We start from the raw sequence: 20,618 nt of genomic DNA, 5'->3' as shown, positions 1-20,618 counted from the left end.
AACTCTCTCCTCTTTCTTCTTGAGTTCGTTCTCTCTAGCTCATTCTTCTGCCTTCCTCTTCTACTTTAAGAACTCACAGGAAGGGGAACATCACACACTGGGGACTGTTGTGGGGTCGTGGGAGAGGGGAGGGATAGCATTAGGAGATATATCTAATGCTAAATGACGAGTTAATGGGTGCAGCACACCAACATGGCACATGTATACATATGTAACAAACCTGCACGTTGTGCACATGTACCCTAAAACTTAAAATATAATAATAATAAAATTAAAAAAAAAAGAACTCACAGGATTAGGTTGGCCAACCATGATAACCCAAGATACTCTCTCCATCTCAACATCCTTAACCTTATCACACCTGCAAAGTCTCTTCTGCTATGTAAGGTAACAAATTCATAGACTCTGGGAATTAAAGGCTTAGGCATTATTCTGCCTCCCGTATGGTTTTTTAAAGGAAGATATGAATTATCCCAAGAAGAAGAAAATTGACCCAAGAAGAAGTAGAAATCCTTAATAAGGGAACAACAACAACAAAAGAAAATCCCAAAAGTCATTACAGCAATTCCTTTAAAAAATCACTAACACTGGAGGGGTATAAGTCAATAATCCAAACTTTGAAGAGATGAATAAATTCAGTTATATAAGCTTTTAAAAAGATGGAATTTTTTTCATTTTGTCAAAAAGCCTTGTGAATCAAAATGCCATGGCTTCTTGATTTGTCTTTTGTTCTATGGCCTTTTAAAAGTAATTTGAAATTCAAAACTAAGCCATCCTTTTGGTTTAGCTACCATTTTCCACCACCTCCAAGGCAATAAAAGCCACTGGCTTAAGGAGTTCCAAGGAGCAAGGAGAAAATTCATGAAAGGAAAAATTCATGGAAAAAAGGAGAAATTTATGAAAAGAACAAATGAAAAACCTAGATTTATAATACCTAAATTATATTCCACTATATTATCTTAGGGTAAGAAATGCTTCCTAAGCAGGACCCTAAAAATAAAAGACATAAAAGAAAAAGTAGACATACACAGAAAGGATTAATTTCCAGAATTTAGAAAAAACTTTCCTGAATCAGTTTTGGAAAGTAAAATGAGCAGAGAGTTCACAAAGGACCTTAAAGCGGGCTGTAAAAATATGTTAAAAGATACTCAGCCTCTCTAGTTATCAGGAAACTTTAAGCTAACATAGTGAAGTCCTCCTCTATCTGATTAACCACATACACGTTCACATATATAAAATATCATGTCATATCCAGTCTCCACAAAGATGGTAGGCCTTCAGAAATTGCAACAGATTTATAAATTGTTAAAATCTTAAGGCAATTTGGAATTATTTATCTAAATTTAAAATGTGCATATAGTTATACATAGCAGTTCCACTTATATAATTCTACCTTGTAGAGAAATAGCCAACTGTTTGTGCCTAAAGGTGTACCTTTCTAAAATGTTAATTGATGTTTTTGTTTGGAACAGCTAAACATTAGAAGAAACCTAAATGACTACTCAAGAGTGTTAACAGAAATTTTTTCCTCACAGCTCTTAAAAAGAGGACATATGACATAGACAAATTTCCAAGATCAAGGTAGGTTCAGAAAGCAAGTCAGCAGAGAGAAGCACTTTTGGAGTAGCATGGCAGGGGCCCCTGAAAATCTGTTCCTCCATAAAGTCATAAGAACAGTGACAAAAAATGATCAAAATAAACTTTTTCAGAACTCTGGAAGTTAACCAAAGGATGACATCAAGGAAAACTGGCTGAATCTTAGTAAGAAGAGCGAGTTTTATGGCATATTAGCTTACCCTATTCCTGTCACCCTCTTTCGAGCTCTACAGTAGCTTTGAAAACTAGTAAGTAACCTTACAACCACAGGAGGATGCACAATGTATCTGGAGTACCCTAAAACTTCTATGCCCAGTGAATTGTCACCATTTGACATTAATTTAATAAAGTTACTAAAACAGCAACAAATAACAGGAAAAACAAGTTCAGATGGTGGAATAGGATCTGATTCCCAGAATTGCCACATATTATTAAAATGTCCAGTTTTCAATAAAAGTATAAGGTATGAGGAAAAAAAAAAAACCACAGGAAAGTATGGCCCACACAAAGGGGAAAAAGCAGGCAATACAGACTGTGTCAGAGGAAGCCTGGACATTAAACTTACTGGATAAAGACTTTAAGTCAGCTACTGTAAATATGTCAAAGAACTGCAAGAAACCCTGTCTAAAGAACTAAAGGAATGAAAGAGAATAGTGTCTCATCAAATAGAGAAGATCAGTAAAAAAAATAGGGGCTTTATAAAAAGAGAATTAAATAGATATTCTGAAGTTGAAAAATACAGCAACTGAAATTTTAAAAGTTATTACAGGGGCTCAACAGCAGATTTGAGCTGCCAAAGAATCAGAACTTGGAATATATGTCAACTGAAATTATCCAGTTAGAGCAACAGAAAGACAAAGAATAAAAAAAAAAAACAAAAAGAGCCTCAAGGACCTGCAGAACACCATGAAGCATAATAACATACAGATAGTGAGAGCCTCAGAAGGAGAGAAGGAAAAGAGAGGGGCAGATGGAATAGTTGAAGAAATGCTGGCTGAAATATTTCACAATTTTTATGAAAAGCATTAGTACATACCTCAAAGAAGTCCAATTAACTCCAAGCAGGATAAACTCAGATCTACACCTAGATATATCATAGTCAGACTGTCAAAAGCTGACAACAAAGAGAGTATTGAAAGCAGCAATAGAAGAACAGCTCATGATATACAAGAGTTCCTCAGTAAGATTGACAGCTGACTTCTCATCAAAAACCAGAGAGTTAAGAAGGCAGTAGGATGACATATTCAAAGTGATGAAAAGCCAGTCGGTCTAGAATTCTATTATATATCCAATAAAACTATCCTTCAAAAAGGAAAGAGAAATTCAGACAATTACAGATAAATAGAAACTGAGAGTATTCAATACTAGTAAACCTTCCCTATAAGACATAATAAAGAAAGTCCTTCAGGCTGAAATGAAAGGACACTAGACATCAGTTCAAATCCACACAAAGAAAAAGAGTTCTGATAAAGGTAGCTGTGTAGGCAAATATAAAAGATAATATAAATTTATTTTTCATAAATCTTGTATTGTTAATATGGCAGTACTACCAAATTGATCTACATATTCACTGTAATCCCTATCTAAATCCCAGATGTCTTTTTTGGAGAAAATGGCAAAGTGATCCTAAAATTCATATGGAAATGCAAAGCACCCCTAGTAGCCAAAACAATCTTGAAAGAGAACAAAGCTGGAGAACTCACATGTCTTGATTTCAAAACTTGTTATATAGTTATTTTAATCAAAACAATGTGATACTGACATAAAGATCATCATATATAAATGGAATAGAGTTGAGAGTATGGTAAGTTGATATTCAGCACGGGTGCCAAGATTATTTATGTGGAAAGAGTAGTCTTTTTTACAAATAGTTCTGGGAAAACTAGATATCCACATGCAAAAGAATGAACTTGAGCTACTTCTTCACGCTGTATACAAAAATTAACTCAAAATAAGTCATAGAATTAAATGCAGGAGTTATAACACCCTTAGAAGAAAACTTGAGTAAATCTTCATGACCTCAGGTTAGGCAGTAGTTTCTTAGATATGACACTATGAGCACAAGCAACAAAAGAAAAAATAGGTAGATGAGACTTCATCCAATTAAGCAGTTTTGGGCTTCCAAGGACACCATTAAGAAAGTGAAAAGATATACACAGAACAGAAGAATTTTTTGCAAGTCATGTTTGATAAGGAACTTGCACCCAGAACATATGAAGAGCACTTACAACTCAAAAAGGAAAATACCCCAACTTTTTAAATGGGCAAAAGATTTGAATAAACATTTCTCTGAAGAAGATGAGTGTCTAATAAGCACCTGAAAAGATGCTAAGCATCATGAGCCATTGGAAAATTGCAAATCAAAATCACAATGAAATACCATCTCACACCCACTAGGATGGCTGAAATAAAAAGATAGCTCATAGTAAGTGTTGACAAGCATGTGGAGAAATTGGAACCGTTATACAATACTGATGGAAATGTAAAATGGTGTAGTCACTTTTGAAAACTGGCAGTTTCTCGAAATGTTAAATGCAGAGTTGCCATATTGACCCACCAGTTCCACTTCTAGATATCTACGTGAGACAAAGGGAAACAATATGTCCACATAAAAACTTAAACAGGAATGTTCATAGCAGCATTATTCATAATAGCCAAAAATGTGTATAAGCTAAATGTTCATCAGCTGATGAGTATATAAACTAAATGTGGTACCCATACAATGGAATATTATTTGGCAACTAAAAGGAATGAAGTGCTAATACATGCTATAACATAGATGAACTTTTAAGCACTGTCCCAAGAGAAAGAAGCCAGTCACAGAAGACCACATATAGTATCACTCCATCTACATGACATGTCTAGAAAAGGCAAATTCATAGAGCCAGAAGTAGATTGTGATTGCAGGGACTATGGGAAGAGGGGGTATACTGGAAATAACTGCTAATGGCCATGAGTTTTCTTTTCTCAGTGATTAAGTTGTTCTAAAATAGATAGTTTTGATGGTCATGCATCTCTGTAAGTGTACTGTAAAAAACACTGAATTATATTCTTTTAAAAGGTGAAAGTTATGACATGAATTATATCTCAAAGTGTTGTTTTCACAGTTAATCTGTTTATAATGAAAGTGTATTCACATATAAGTGGGGTAATTTTAAAAAAAGAAAATAATAGGTGGTTCCTGAGATCTTTTTCGGTTCTAATATTCTAGGACCCCGTGTTATTGAGATTATTACCGTGAAAAAGTATCCCTGGGAAGTTAAGGCCTAGAGTCCTGGTGGTGGGTGGGAAACATGGAGGGAGAGAAGGGAAGAAATAAAGGCCTAGGTGGAATTTTCATAGTCTAGGCCCTTATAAGCATAGGATACTTCTAGGCCTTGGGGCCTGTTCTCTACTCTTTCCTAACCTCAGGGGTCCTTCAAGGCTCAGCTCCAATATCATGCATTACAGGTTGGATTCTTCAGGAAGCAGACCCTGATAGAAGTACAGAAAGTTTATTGGGGGAATAACACAGGTGAAAGGAAAAGAGGAGGAATCAGAGTTGGGCAGAGGGATGGGGGCAGACCATGATACAGATCTAACAAGTCTCTGCCAGTTCAAAGGGGAACTCTGCAGGCAAGATTTCCTATTAAAGGAGTCCTGTATTGACTGGAAATGGGTAGACCATTTATTCCCAATCACGAGCTGGGAACCACCCTGAGAAGAGCATGATGTTAGTTCAAAACCTGAGGCAGATCCTGAACAATCTAATAGCTAAAGGCTATCAGCTAACCATCTTCCTTGAAGTCACAAATATTTCCTTAAAGAGGGATGTATCAGCCCTCCAAATCTGCCACACTTCTTCTGAAATGTGGCTTGACTCTCTCCTTCTATCCAAGGGAGAGGTAATAGCTCTCTCCTAAGAAATATAACATTCTGGTTAGCATTCTTGGTTTATCATTTACCTCCTTACCCCTAGGTTCTGCACTCTGGGAGGACAGAAACTTAATCTGAATCCCTGATATTTAATGCAGAGGAAGCGTCAGTGTAATAAAATTGTCTTGAGATCAGGGACAATCAGGGACTCCCAGGTACTGGGAGTAGATAATTACTATTCTAACTATATTGTAACAACTTTGACCCAAGATTGGAGAATGTTAGTCTATAAAGTATCTCTTATTATCTACTTGATTTTCTTCCTACTTCTGGCTGCTGCTTCTCAGTCAGCTTTGCTGCTTTCTTGTGATATCTCTGACTTTTAAATTGTAACGTTTCCAAGGGGCCAATCTGTGGTCCTAAATCCTTTTTCTCTCTATCCCTTCTCCATTGATAACCTCATGTTTAAATACAGTCTCTATGGTACTGACTTCCAAATGTATATCTCTAGCTCACATCTCTCCCCTAAAATCCAGACTCATTTCCCACTGCTTATGTGGCATCTCTATTTGGATATCTGACTAGGCACCATAGACTCAGCAGGTCTAAAACTAAACTGCTGATTTATTCCTAAAACCTGCTTCCCTTCACTCTTCCCCACCTCAGTAAATAGCCGCTCCATCATTCTTCTTGCTTAGGCCAAAAATTGGAAGTTGAGCTTGACTCTTCTCTTTCTCTCATACTCATAATGGGTTCATCCGTAAATCCAGTCAGTTTTGTCCAAAATGTGACCACCTCTCACCACCAAGTCATGATCATTCTGAGTACTTACATTTTTGCGTTAGCAAAAATTGGTTCCTCTGCTTTTGCCTTTGTTCCCCCTGACTCACCCCCACTTGACCATCTCTGATTCTGTTCTCAATACAACAGCCAGAGCAATCCTTTTAAAATGTAAGTCAAATCATGTCACTCCTCTCCTCAAACCCTCTAGTGACATCCCATAGCTTCCCTTCTCAGAGTAAAACTAATCAAAATCATCTACAAATCCCTACCTGTTCTGATCCCCCTGCTTGCTCTCAAACCTCATCTCTCACCCTTCTCCTCCTTGCTCTTAGCTCTAACCATACCGGTCACTTTGTGATCTCCTTGAACACCGAAGATCCTGCATTAGGGCCTTAGCACTTGCTGTTCTTGCATATTTGCTGCAAAGCGGGTACTTCACCTTCTTCAGGTTTTTGCTAAAATGTTAATGTTCCTGAATTTTCAGTGACACTTTCCCTTACCAGAGGGAAGAGGAGAGATGCTTTTTTGAAAAACTTTGGCCAAAGATTTGGATTTTTTAATCTTGCTAATGTAAAGTGCAGTATAATAGATTCTGGTTTCTGTAATTAAGGGATTATTCCATTAGTGAAGAAACACCCAGTCATTTAACCATTGTTTACTGAAACTTTGATTTTTTTTTTTTTTTAGTTCTTTTTATATGTGTGCAATGCTTGGATAATCATAGTATAAAAAACATAGAAAACTATAGTGGTAGATACCTTCACTGTTTTTTTGAAAACCAGTGGCTATTCTGATACATAAAAATGCATGCATTTTAATACTCCATAGTGTCATTATGTTGATAGTATCAACCTAGTGGCATCATAATTGATCATCATTTATTAAAAACAGTAGATCGAATAGCTTAGTGAAAGAGTCTGGTGTTTCATTATTGCTACTTAATTTTTCTTACAGGGCTAAGTTCTAAAAACATCAGTTCATCTCCAAGCGTTGAGAGTTTGCCTGGAGGAAGAGAATTCACTGGCTCTCCACCTTCATCTGCTACTAAAAAAGATTCCTTTTTTAGCAACATCTCACGTTCTCGCTCACACAGCAAAACTATGGGCAGAAAAGAATCTGTAAGTATTTAAGGACAGTTTTCTCTTCGTTCTTCATTTTCTTCTCTAGAGTGCTGCATTTATGAAAGCTCTGTTAGTGCCCAGTTTTATAAAGCTCTTAAAACTTTTATGGACTAAAAGGAATTATTTTATCAAAAGTATTTTATTATTTTACTTTAGTAATATTTTAAGGCTGTAGCCTATATTACACTGGAAAAAAAAAAAAGTAGCATCATTTTAAAATAAGTTGAATCTTTCCCAAATCCCAGTCCTTTTTTTCTCTACAAATGCCTTTTTGTCAAAGCCTGTGTTTTCTTATAAAATTTAACAGATAAATGATGGAACTTGAAACAAACCAAGGTGTTTTTTCCATTTTAAATATTTCTTGAAAATTAAAAATAATTGATTTACCATTTAAAAAGCTATACAAACTACATTTAAATTCTATTTTGATACGCTGTAAAATTCTTTTTTTTTTTTTTTTTTTTTTTTTTGAGACAGAGTCTTAATCTTGGCTCACTGCAGCCTCCACCTCCTGGGTTTAAGCGATTCTCATGCCTCAGCCTCCTGAGAAGCTGGGATTACAGGTGTGTGCCACCATGCCTGGCTAATTTGTGAATTTTTATTAGAGATGGGGTTTTGCCATATTGGCCAGGCTGCTCTGGAACTCTTGGGCTCAAGTGATCTGCCCGCCTTGGCCTTCCAAAATGCTGGGATTACAGACATGAGCCACTGCCTCCAGCCTGTAAAATTCTTTATATACATTTCTCAAAAGGATATAGCTAAGGCATATCCACTGCTTTAAAAACTTGGTTGTGTCTGAAATTATTATAAGCCAACTTCACGTTTAACCACATTTTATAACAGCCATGCATAGCTTAACAACAATGATACATTCAGAGGAATGTGTTGTTACGCAATTTCATCATAGTGCAAACATCATAGAGTGTACTTATACAAACTACATGGTACCGCCTACTACACATCTAAGCTGTATGGTATAGTCTGTTACTCCTAGGCTACAAACCTGTATAGCATGGTGCTGTACTGAATACTGCAGGCAATTATAACACAATGTTAAGTATTTTTGTATCTAAACATATAAAAGGTACAGAAAAATATAAGGTAAGGTATACAGGAAAAAAAATGGTACACCTGTCTAGGGCACTTATGAATGGAGCCTGGAAGTGGCTCTGGGCGAGTGAGTGAGTGAGCAGTGAGTGAATGTGAAGGTCTAGGATTATTGTGCACTACTGTAGACTTTATAAACACTGTACACTTAGGCTACACTAAATTTATTTAAACAATAGTTCTTTCTTCAAAATAAATTAATCTTACCTTATTATAACTTTTACTTTATAAACTTTTATTTTTTTAATTTTTGATTCTTTTGTAATAACACTTAGCTCAAAACAAACGCATTTGATAGATGTACAAAAATGCTTTTTATTATCTTTATTCTATAGCTTTTTTCTATTTTTAAATTTTTTTATTTTACTTTTTAAGCTTTTTTGTTAAAAACGGACACGCACATTAGGCTAGGCCTAACCAGGGTCAGGATCATCAGTATCATTGTTTCCACCTCCACGTTTTGTCCCCCTGGAGGGTCTTTGGGGGCAGTGACACTCATAGAGCTATCACTCCTGTGGTAACAATGCCTTCTTCTGGAATACTTCCTGAAGGACCTGCCTGACATTGTTTTAAAGTTAACTCTTTTTTTATATATATATATAACTAGAAGTACATTATAAAATAATGATAAAAAGTATAATGTAGTAAATACATAAACCAGTAACACAGTCGATTATTATTATTCACTGTACATAATTGTATGTGCCATACTTACATATGACTGGCCGCACAGTAGGCTGGCATTACCGCAAACACTTAATCCATTGCACTATGACATTATGACAGCTATGATGTCACTAGCCAATAGAATTTTTTAGCTCCATTATAGTCTTATGGGACCACCATCATGTATGTGGTCTGTCATTGATCAAAACATCATTATGTGGCACATGACTGTAGTTTAACACCTAATATCTTAATAAGATCTCATCTGCCCAGTGGAAGAGGATGCCAAGGTAATACAGAAAAGGATCTAGCTATAGCTGAAATTATCCTAAATTAGAAAAACAAACAAACTATTAACCTTTGAGAGATAATTATTTAAGGTACATAGAATATCATGTTCTCTATCTGTGTGACTTTGTATGTCTTGGGGCAAGACACTCAGCTTCTGGCGTTTTAACCACCTTATCTGCAAATTAAACATTTTTGCTCTCTGAAGAGTTTACTACCTGCCCTCTTAGGGATCCCTTCAACATGTAGGAACTGTGATTCTGTAGTATATAAAAGAGCAGAGAGGAACTTTAGTTTAAACCTGGCACCTTTAGTGCAAGCATTTAGCTCTGTTCCCTCCTAAAATTCCACTGCAAGGACAACAAGGGCAGTTAGATAAACCCTCAAAGAATAAGAAAACAAGAAAAAACAGTAGCAATAAAAATATTGTTACTTGGAAAACAGATGACAAGTGACAACTAAGCAGCCTAAGAAAGCTGAACCTTAAGTCAGTGGTAGGCAAAAAACAAAGAAGCAGCTTGACTTACATTGTAAAATTCTCCAGAAGCTCAGGAGCTGCAAGTGAAGATGAAGGTAGAACTGAAGACATGACAACTGGTCAGAAGCTTCTGAAAGAGGAATTAGATTCCCTTCCCTATGTCAGCAAAAGACTGAAAATTTAATTCTCTGAAAAGCGTACAAAATGTCTGTGGTCTGAGAGATCAGGCACATTCCAATGTGAACCACCCTACTGGAAAAGGGGTAATGAATATACTTAAATGCTAGATTTGAGACCCCAGGCCTCCGCCACTTGCTTTCCAGAGCACCAGTATGTATAGCCCTTCAGGCAGGAGATTTGGAAGGGTTTTCTCTAGGCAAAAGACACGTATACACAGCTATAAATATACTCACCCTAGGAGTGCTCCAAGGAAACAGCCAGTTACTTCTTAGTGGATCCCACCATTAATGAGCTCCATCCAAACACAGAACTTCCTCTTAGCTTTTTAGTTCATACTATTTTATATGAACAAGACAGCCAAAGATCACCAGACACTTGAAGAGAGGATTTGATAATGAAAGACAAAAACAGAAAAAAGCAACTGGGAAGGAAACAGGCTATGCAGAACAAGAAAACAAAAATCATATTTTAATAGATTTTTTTGTTCTCTAAATGTTATATTTTTTCTAATGTGATACCTTTTCGAATGTATACATTTTTCTAAAATGTAAAACTCAGTGGAAGAGTTGGAAGAGAAAGTGGAGGAAATCTCCCCTGAAAATAGAATATAAAACAAATAAATAGAAGAGAGAAAAAACATAAGAAAATTAGAGAACTGGCCCAGAAATTTTTTAAAATAGGAGTTTCAGAGTGAACAGAGAAAATAAAAGAAAGCAAATATGAAAAATACAATTCGAGAAATTTTTCCATTAATAAAATAACTGAGTTTTAAGGTAGGAAAAAGTCCATAGACTGACCCACACAAGAAAAAACAAACCTACACTCAGATGTATTACTGAAAAAGTTCAGAAATCTGCAAACAAAAGAATTTTACTGACTTGTAGAGTTGGAAAAGAAGGATTCTAACAACGAATGAGGAATTAAAATAGCTACAGACTTCTCAGTAGCAACACCAAAAGCAAGACAATGGAGCGATACTTTGAAAGTTCTGAGAAATGGCTGGGCGTGGTGACTCATGCCTGTAATTCCAGCACTTTGGGAGGCTGAGGCAGGTGGATCACCTGAGGTCAGGAGTTCGAGACCAGCCTGACCAACATGGTGAAACCCCATCGCTACTAAAAATACAGAAATTAGCCAGGCATGGTGGCGGGTGCCTGTAGTCCCAGCTATACGGGAGGCTGAGGCAGGAGAATCACTTGAACCCAGGAGGTGGAGGTTGCATTGAGCCGAGATCGCGCCACTGCACTCAGGCCTGGGCGACAGAGCAAGAATCCGTCTCAAAAAAAAAAAAAAAGTTCTGAAAAAAAATTACTTCTAACCTAGATTCAACATCTGTCTAAACTAGTAGTTAATTTTGAGCATAAAATAAAGCCATGTTTAGACATTAAAGATTCAAAAAAATGATTCTCATGTACCCTGGGAATCCACTGGAGGATATGCTGTACAAAAATGAGGACATAAACTAAGGAGGAGGAGCCTGAGAACTAGAAAATAGAGGATCCAAAGCAAAACAAAAAGATCCCCAGAATGATAATGTTTGTAGATCCGAAGACTATAGCACTGCTAAATAGCAGACCCAGAAAGTAGTAGCAAGCCCAGATTGGAGCAAGTTGGAAGGTTCCAGAAAGATTTATTCAAAAAGATAAAATTGAAAGAATGACTACTATATTTTAACAAATTAAGAGATTTATACAACTAGGCATGAGTTTGGGTGATAACTTTGTAAAAGCTAAACTAACCCCAAAAAAGGACAATTGGTAACACCAAAGGAAAACAAAGTATGTGTAGGAAAAGAAAGAAAGGTTATGATAAACCTTATAACTGAGCTGGGATTAGAATTTACATAGACATTATAATGTAAGCCTGTTGAATATGAATCTAATCAGAATCACACTATACCTGTTGAGAAGATGGAGCGTGGGAACTATGTGCTTGCATGAAGAGCAGAGGGAGCAGGTTGTCTTCCATAGTGGGAAATCAGGGGATAATACTCTCGAGAGAAATCAAGAAGTGGCTAGATAAGTTAGAGAGAAAGGCCAGCTGTGGTGGCTCACGCCTGTAATCCCAACACTTAGGGAGGCTGAGTTGGGAGCATTGCTTGAGTCCAGGAGTTCGAGACCAGCCTGAGCAACATAGTGAGACCTGTCTTTACAAAAAAAATTTGTTTTTAATTAGCCAGGTATGGTGGCATGCAACTGTAGTCCCAGCCACTTGGGAGACTGAGGTAAAAGGATCACCTGAGTCTGGGAGATCAAGTCTGCGTGAGCAGTGACTGTGCCACTGCACTCCAGCATGGGATGCAGAGCAAGAGCTTGTCTTAGATAGACTAGATAGATACATAGATACATAGATGATATAGAGGTGAAAAAACAAAATGGGTAAAAGAATTTAAAATGGTTGTTTCTGGGGAGAAAGAAGTGGAGGGTCGGGTTGTGGGAACTGTTCTTCATAACAGGAACAGTTGTATAAAGCACCATTTCATTGTATTGACCATTTCACTCTATTAACACTTATGTAAGTGTTACATATATAACTTAGATTAAAAATAACAACTAAAAATTACAGCAAAGTAGAATGTATTGGCATAATAAATTAGAAGAGGAGATGATCTGCCTGTACAAAGAACGTGTCTATGAAGAACCAGAGTAAGAGAATAACAAATGAGAAAGGCATATGGAGACAGGTTTCATTTGCATTCTATCATATTTTGGTGGCATATGGATTAGTCTCCAACACCAATTAATTACTTTTCTTTATGATGGTACTTTAACTTAAAACTGAGAAGTTGAGTAAAAATAGAAATAAAGTAAGTCTAACTCTCTACATAGACCTGCTGTGAACCAAGAGACAGAATGCAAGTAATCATTCAAAATTTAGTATATTTGCTAACTTTGGGGAAGGAAGTAGGCAGAAATTTTTAAGATAAATAAGCTCATGGTTTTCCAAGTAATAGTTTTATCTTATTATTTTATTAAATAGTGTGTTAAGTCAGTACACTTTGCCAGTTCTCGCCCATTCTGGGCACTTAATCGGATTGCGCCTCCTTGTCCCTATGATCTGTCAGAATCATATGACTAGTTCTCTCTACTGTGTTGTGACTGAAAGTGATATATATGTATTGTCAATGCAAGACCATCCACAGCTCTCTTTTCCTGTGACACCATGAACAGAACCTCCCTGCTAACTCATGATAGACATGAAGTATGAGTGAGAAATCAGCTTTTGCTGATCTAAGCTTCTAAGCTTCCAACAGTGCACAGTTGGAAAATGCTTAGGCCCATAGCCGGGACTCATTCTCCCATGGGAGCCGCCTGCTGCCACTAGAGTGGTCCCAGGACACCAGAACCTATGACTGGGTACCTACCATACATGGATCCAATTTGCTTTCGTTTCCAGGCCAGTGTGATGTGATACAGCGATATTCCATATCCTCAAAAAAGTTCAAGATAGCTTTTCAGTTAAATTTCTTACACAAACCAGTGGCCAGAAATGAAAGCAAAGACATCTCTTCGTTTGGGTCTCTTGTCCCTTAAACTATATGATGATACCTTTCAGATTTGAAGACTCAGTTTATCTTTTAAAGTGGTTCAGGGTCAAGAAACTGTTTATGTTAATTGCCAAAATAGTGGTAGAAAGAGACATAAAACCTAAAATAATATAGTAGTAGCTATCAGTCTAAGTACAGTAAAATCTGCTTGTAACGGTTTTGAGAAATTATTGTCAAAATCTATATAGGTATGACATATCCTGGACAAGCATCATATAGTGTGTTGTAGAACTTGTTTTCTCTTAATATTGCCTTTTTATGTATCACACATACCCTTTCTATAATCCACAGCCTATCTTCTTTAGATAAAAAGGAAGTATCACATTTATTCCTGTTAATGCCCATGATTTGGCCATATAATGAAAGAGGGCAAGATTCAGCTTAGTCTTTAAAGAGGTAACAATTAAGCCTTGTGCCAGATTTTTATAAAAGACATCATTATACTTCTTTACTGAAATGTGAAAACTAGTAGAAAGTTTTAAAATTGACCTCACTTCATTATTGTTAGTACTATTATTTTGAGGATTGGTATTGGTTTGTCTTGAAGAGAAAGTAAAACATTTTGATACTTTTAATTTTATGCTTTATTTTACATGATAATATAAATGACTTCCAATACTTAGCTTTCTAGAAGTCTATTTTTAGGTGGCCATTCTTCTGTTAAATAAATTTTTACTTTTTTTAGCACTGTTAGTCATGTTCTATGATTGTTGCCAAATCATTTTCTAAGAATATCTTTGCTAAGGTTAAAGTATACAAAAAATAGAGTATAAGAAAAATTCTCAGCCTAGGCAACATAGTGAGACTCCATGTCTACAAAAAATTTAACAAAAAAATTAGCTGGGCATAGTGGCATGCACCTGTAGTCCCAGCTACTTGGGAGGCTGAGGTATGAGGATCACTTGAGCCCAGGAGTTCAAGTCTACAGTGAGCTGTGATTGTGCCACTGACCTCCAGCTTGGGCAGCAGAGCCAAGCCCCTGCCTCAATAAACAAATAAAAAGAAAAACTCAAAAACTGACTTGTCTATGTGAATAAGTTATAATATTTAAGCACACCAGCCAACTAGAAGTATTTTTGTAAATTTCCTGATAAACTGCGTGATATTTTGGTATGATTTGTAATAATTATAATACATACCAACCTTCAAAGATCTGAAAGTATCCATGGTTCAGAATCCTCTCTAAACCACAGGAAATCAAAAAAGGTCTGAGCTGAAAGTCTCTGCATAAAACAGGATGCATAATGAGATACTCCCTTACCTGAAGGCTCACAGCACTACAGGGGGGTGACCATCCTGTGTCTTTATGACCCCTGTGACCCCTGTGTGCATTCGTCATTGCCCTTTGGTAGTTTGAACGTATACTATGGTCATACAAATATAATTTGTTTTTGTAATATTCATCTATTCTTTATCGTGACAAAATACCAAAAAGTGTCAGATAAATGAAAACGAATTTGAAAGCAGACTCTTACTTCTAGAAAACTGGAGAATTGCCTAACCTATTTCAGGCCATGATCTAGAAATTATAATTTAAGACATTATATCTGTTTAAGAAATATAAGAGAGCAATCCTAATGAAGATGCTTAGAGTGAAATTGGAAGGGGGAAAAGTTAAGTAATTAAACTAAATTAAAATATCTCATCCACATGAGATGCATAATATGATTAAATGCCATATGAACAGTAAAGACAGTAAAAAAATGGTGTTAGATGACAGACCACCATGGGCTGTGTTGGTGAGAGATAGATCTGAACCACTGATGTATTTCTTCTCCCATTAAATACAAACGTTATTTTCCCTTAGGAAAATAGCTTCCTAGGACAGGTAGTAGTGGCGGATATTGAGCAGGTAGTCAACAATACCTTCTATAGGAGTTCTCTTCTCCCTCACATCCCCTGACACATCTAAAGTAGTTAGAATTGTATCAAGTTGCTTTGGGTAAAAATAAGAGAAAGTATTATATCAAATGAGGAAATTTGTTGTTTATTATTTCACATAACAAGAGTCCTGAAATAGGTCTACGGTTGGATTATTCAGCTGTTGAGTAGCATCACCATCTTTCCACTCTGCCATCCTTAGTGTGGTAGCTTTATCTTCAACTTGCTCTCATCGTGTTCTCTCAAGCGGGCTGACACAGCCAATTATATCACACACACGTGCATGCACAGCCCTTCTAGAGAAGTCTACTTGGGAATTCCCCAGCAGGCTTTCCTTCCCATATCACTGACCAGAATTAAATTCCATGCCCACTCCTTACCAATCTCTGGTAAGGAGAAGGGTCACGAGAGGCTCATGACAGAGGACCAGTAGTTGGGGGGATGTGATGAGGCAGCCAACAATTTGATAGGTAAATTACGCTTGAAGTATTAATTGCCAAAATGGTTTATTTAATCCTTTCCTGAAGGATTTGCATTTGAAAAGAGCCAGTTCTGCTGTCATCAGTCATATTTTACTGGTAGATTTTCAGGCAACTGGAGTTAAATTGGTGGTTGAAAGGGAGAAATTGAGCAGAGCAGCCTTCCCAGAAGACTAGAATTTTCCTAGTTATCTGATTTTCTTTTCAGTCAGTGATGTATACTTCCTAGGAAAACATGTTATGTGGAAAGCATTGACTTCAGTGGATTTCTTTATGAGCTTAGGGATGGAATTGAAAACTGGAATCTAGAGTTCATCTAATTATAGGATTTTCAAGTGAAAAATACATATATGTAATCTCTTCTTGTTTAATCAGTAGTGTTAATGATAACTGGAATAAAATACAGTCTCATTTAAAATATATTCCCATTTAGTATAGTTTATTGAAATGAATAGATATAAAATGAATTTAAACATCAGCAGTTTAAGTCTCATGATAGTAATTTTAATCTAAGGCCAAATTAACCTGGATATTTGAAACATACATTTAGTCATTCGATGTTTTGTAAACCTTGTTTACAATCTGTCTGCCAGTAAACGTACTCAAGGTCAGGAAGAGTAGACTATATATCTTTGTGAGAGAGTTCTTTCCTTCTTTCTCCATCTTTTTGCATCACCCAAATCATGTAACTCTATTGCAAAGAAATGTGAACATCAAAGGGAGCATCATTAAAAGCCCTCTATTTTCAACAGTTTTAGCATGACATTTTAATTTAGCTTTTGTAAACAGGTTTTACAACCAACTTTTTAAAATCCTTATGGTGCAATACATTTATTTTAAATTAAAAAAAAAATCTGAGAAGGCTGTGAAAGCAGAATCACAGGAAATAGAGTGCTGCAATGTCCTTTGCAGAACAGTGCCCTTTGGGTTGAGTGAAACACTCATTCACCTCATGCTGGGTCTTCTTCCTCCATCACTTATCTTTATCTTCATCCTCTATATAAAATGCAAAGATGCCAGATTGTACCCATGCTGAATACTGCCCGGGAGGCATAGACAATGGTTTGGGGAAAGCTCAAGTAAAGCAATTAGAAATATTTACAATCCCAGGCCAGAAATATTTTGTGGGTTTGAATCATGCTAAATTAAATGTGTCATTGATAGCGTTTGCTTCTTTCTAGTGACCTTTCTTGAAACTTGACATTTGTATATTCTTTCAGTGCCACATTGCCTTGGGGACAGTTATTTGTACCCTAAAGTGCAGATGTGCATGACAGGGAAGGAAAAGAGGGCTTTGACTTGTCTGGGCAATTGGAGGTCAGCCAAGGCCAGAGACCAGATTGCGGAGTCTGCATGGTTGTCCTCTTCTTTCCCCCTCAGTGGCATCACCACCCTCTCCTACACAGTGTCTCCCTGCTCTTAAACCTCTTGTCCCTGGCATCTCATCATTTATCCTTTGAACACCTGTGTAAACTTTTCCAGGAAGTTATATTTTTAATCCACTGGGCTTTCATTGCAGAAAGAATGGCTTTAGTTCTGTCATAGAAATTCTAGGCCTGTTGATAAAGGGGGGATCTGTATCAGGCAGGTGGCCTTCACTTTGCCCCTGAAAACTTAGGGCTAAGGAACTCCCTTTTGGTTGTTCCTCATAGCTAGAGCTTCTATACCCAGACAGTCAGTTGAAGGCTAGGGCACTGTATTAGTCCATTCTCTTATTGCTATCAGGAACTACCTGAGACTGGGTAATTTATAAAGAAAAGAGGCTTAATTGACTCACAGTTCTTCAGGCTGTACAGGAAGCATGGCTGGGGAGGCCTCAGGAAATTTACAATCTTGGCGGAAGGCAAAGAAGAGGCTGGAGAAGGAGAAAGAGAGATTGAAGGGGGAGGTGGTACACACTTTTAAACAACCAAATCTTGTGAGAACTCACTATAACGAGAATAGCAAGGGGGAAATCCACCTCATGATCCAGTCACCTCCCACCAGGCCCTCCTCCAACTCAGAGGATTACAATTCAAGATGAGATTTGGGTGGAGACAGAAATCCAAACCATATTATCCTGTACCTGGCTCCTCCCAAATCTCATGTCCTTCTCATATTGCAAAAGATAATCCTCCCTTCTCAACAGTCCTGTCTTAACTCATTTCATCATTAACTCGAAAGTCCACAGTCCAGAGTCTCATCTGAAACAAGGCAAGTCCCTTCCACCTATGAGCCTGTAAAATTAAAAACTAGTTACTTCCAAGATACAGTGGGGTACTGACACTGGGTAAATATGCCCATTCTGAAAGGGAGAAATCAGCCAAAACAAAGGGGCTACAGGCCCCATGTAAGTCTGAAACCCAGCAGGGCAGTCATTAAATCTTAAAGCTCCAAAATGATCTCCTTTGACTCCATGTCTGACATCCAGACAACACTCATGCAAGGGGTGGGCTTCCAAGGCCTTGGGGATCTCCCTGCTTGGGGCTCTGCAGGGTACAGCCCCCTCAGCTGCTTTCACAAGCTGGCATTTAGTGACTGTGGCATTTCCAGGCACACAGTACAAGCTGTCAATAGATCTACCATTCTGGGGTCTGGAGGACAGTGGCCCTCTTGTCACAACTCCACTAGGCAGTGCCCCAGCGGAGACTCTGTGTGGAGGCTCCAATCCCACATTTCCCCTCTGCACTGCCCTAGTAGAGGTTCTCCATGAGGGCTCAGCCCTATAGCCAACTTCCACCATCCAGCAGTTTCCATACATCCTCTGAAATCTAGGTGGAGGTTCCCAAGCCTCAACTCTTGTCCTCTCAACACCCACAGGCTTAACACTATGTGAAAGCTGCCAAGGTTTATGGGTTGCACCCTCTGGAGCAACAGCCTGCGATATCTTAGGCCCTTTTAGCCATGGATGGAACAGAAGCAACTGGGATACAAGGAGCAGTGTCCCAGGTTTGTGCAGGGTAGCAGGGCCCTGGGCCCAGCCCACAAAACCATTCTTCCCTCCTAGGCCTCTAGGCCTGTGATGGAAGCAGCTGCCACAAAGGTCTCTGAGATGCCTTTGAGACATTTTTCACATTGTCTCGGCTATTAACATTCACCCCTCTTTACTTTGCAAATTTCTGCAGCCAGCTTGAATCCCTCCCAGGAACATGGATTTTTCTTTTCTACCACAGGGACAGGCTGCAAATTTTCCAAACTTTTATGCTCTGCTTCCCTGTTGTATAAGTTCCAGTTTCAGATCATCTCTTTGCTCATGCCTATGACCATATGCTGTTAGAAGCAGCCAGGCTGCATTTGAACACTTTGCTTCTTAGAAATTTCTTCCACCAGATACCCTAAATTGTCATTCTCAATTTCAAAGTTTCACAGATCCCTAGAGCAGGGGCACAATGCCACCAGTCTCTTTACTAATGCATAACAAAAGTGACCTTTACTCTAATTCCCAATAAGTTTCTCATCTTTATCTGAGACTATCTCAGCCTGGACTTCATTGCCTATATCACTATCAGCATTTTGGTCACAACAGTTTAACAAGTTTCCAGGAAGTTCCAAACTTTCCCTCATCTTCCTGTCTTCTTCTGAGCTCTCCAAACTGTTCCAACCTCTGCCTGTTACCAAGTTCCAAAGTCACTTCTACATTTTCAAGTATCTTTGTAGCAATGCTGCCACACTCCTAGTACCAATTTTCTGTATTAGTCCATTCTCATATTACTATAAATAACTACCTGAGACTGGGTAAAGTATAAAGAAAAGATTTAATTGGCTCAAAGTTCCAGATGCTGTACAGGAAGCGTGGCTGGGGAGGCCTCAGGAAACTTCAATCATGGCAGAAGGTGAAGAGGAAGGATTCACATCTTACACAGCCAGAGAAGGAGGAAGTGAGGGGGAGGTGCTACACACTTTTAAAAACCAAATTTCATGAGAACCCATCACAATAACAGCAAGGGCGAAATCCACCCCTGTAATCCAAATGATCCAATCACCTCCCATCCTGCCTCTGCTGTAACACTGGGGATTACAGTTCAAGATGAGATTTGGGCAGGGATGAAAATCCAAATGAGATTTGGGCAGGGACACAAATCCAAACCATATCAGGCACCTTTACCCAAGCTTCCTCTCTTTTCCTGATCTCTGCTATTTACCCTCCCAGCTTTCTGCCCCAAGTTGTCCATGTGTCAGAAATTAATACACCTGGAAGTATTGCTGGCAGTAAGCACCCGGAATCTCATGCCTGAAGCATGGGAGAAAGAGACAACCCAGGGTCTTAAAACCGAGCTCACGCTGTGTTCACTAAGCAGCACACCCTGGTCTGGGGTTCATATTTGCCTAGAGAAGGGGCCGTGTTTTTTTTCACTCTCCAAATTCTGCACTGAAAGAGGGTGAAGTTGGGGAGTAAATTAAATTAAAGGCATGCTTTAAGTTCTTGAAGGCCCTAAGTTAATGAAGAGGGAACTGCAACTGTTGGAAAAAATCAGGACCTTTCTAATTTGTGGCAGTGATGATAAAAAAAAATTTGGATTTTACCAGGAAAACATGTTAGCAGTAACATGAAGAACTAATAAGAAGAGAAAAAAACAAATAATTCTTTTGACCATAAGAATATTAATACCAAGCACACCAAGTCATTTACACAGAGTTCCCCATTCATGCCTAATTAT

The 20,618-nt window shown here is 37.9% G+C and overlaps 1 protein-coding gene across 62 annotated transcripts in view; it reads left to right on the top strand.

Annotated features, from left to right (window-relative positions):
- TBC1D5 (TBC1 domain family member 5) overlaps nucleotides 1-20,618 on the top strand; it is a 585,470-nt gene that overhangs the window by 521,073 nt on the left and 43,779 nt on the right. For all 62 annotated transcript variants that reach the window (XM_047449296.1, XM_011534283.4, XM_047449314.1 and 59 more), the window contains one exon: nucleotides 7,189-7,352. In XM_047449296.1, the coding sequence (XP_047305252.1) occupies nucleotides 7,189-7,352 (164 nt within the window). The remainder of the gene's footprint in view (nucleotides 1-7,188; nucleotides 7,353-20,618) is intronic.

Source organism: Homo sapiens, chromosome 3 (assembly GCF_000001405.40).
Source record: "Homo sapiens chromosome 3, GRCh38.p14 Primary Assembly".
NCBI classification, from domain to species: Eukaryota; Metazoa; Chordata; class Mammalia; order Primates; family Hominidae; genus Homo; species Homo sapiens.
The sequence above is the reverse complement of the archived record's forward strand: the minus strand, read 5'-3'. Positions and strand labels throughout refer to the sequence as shown.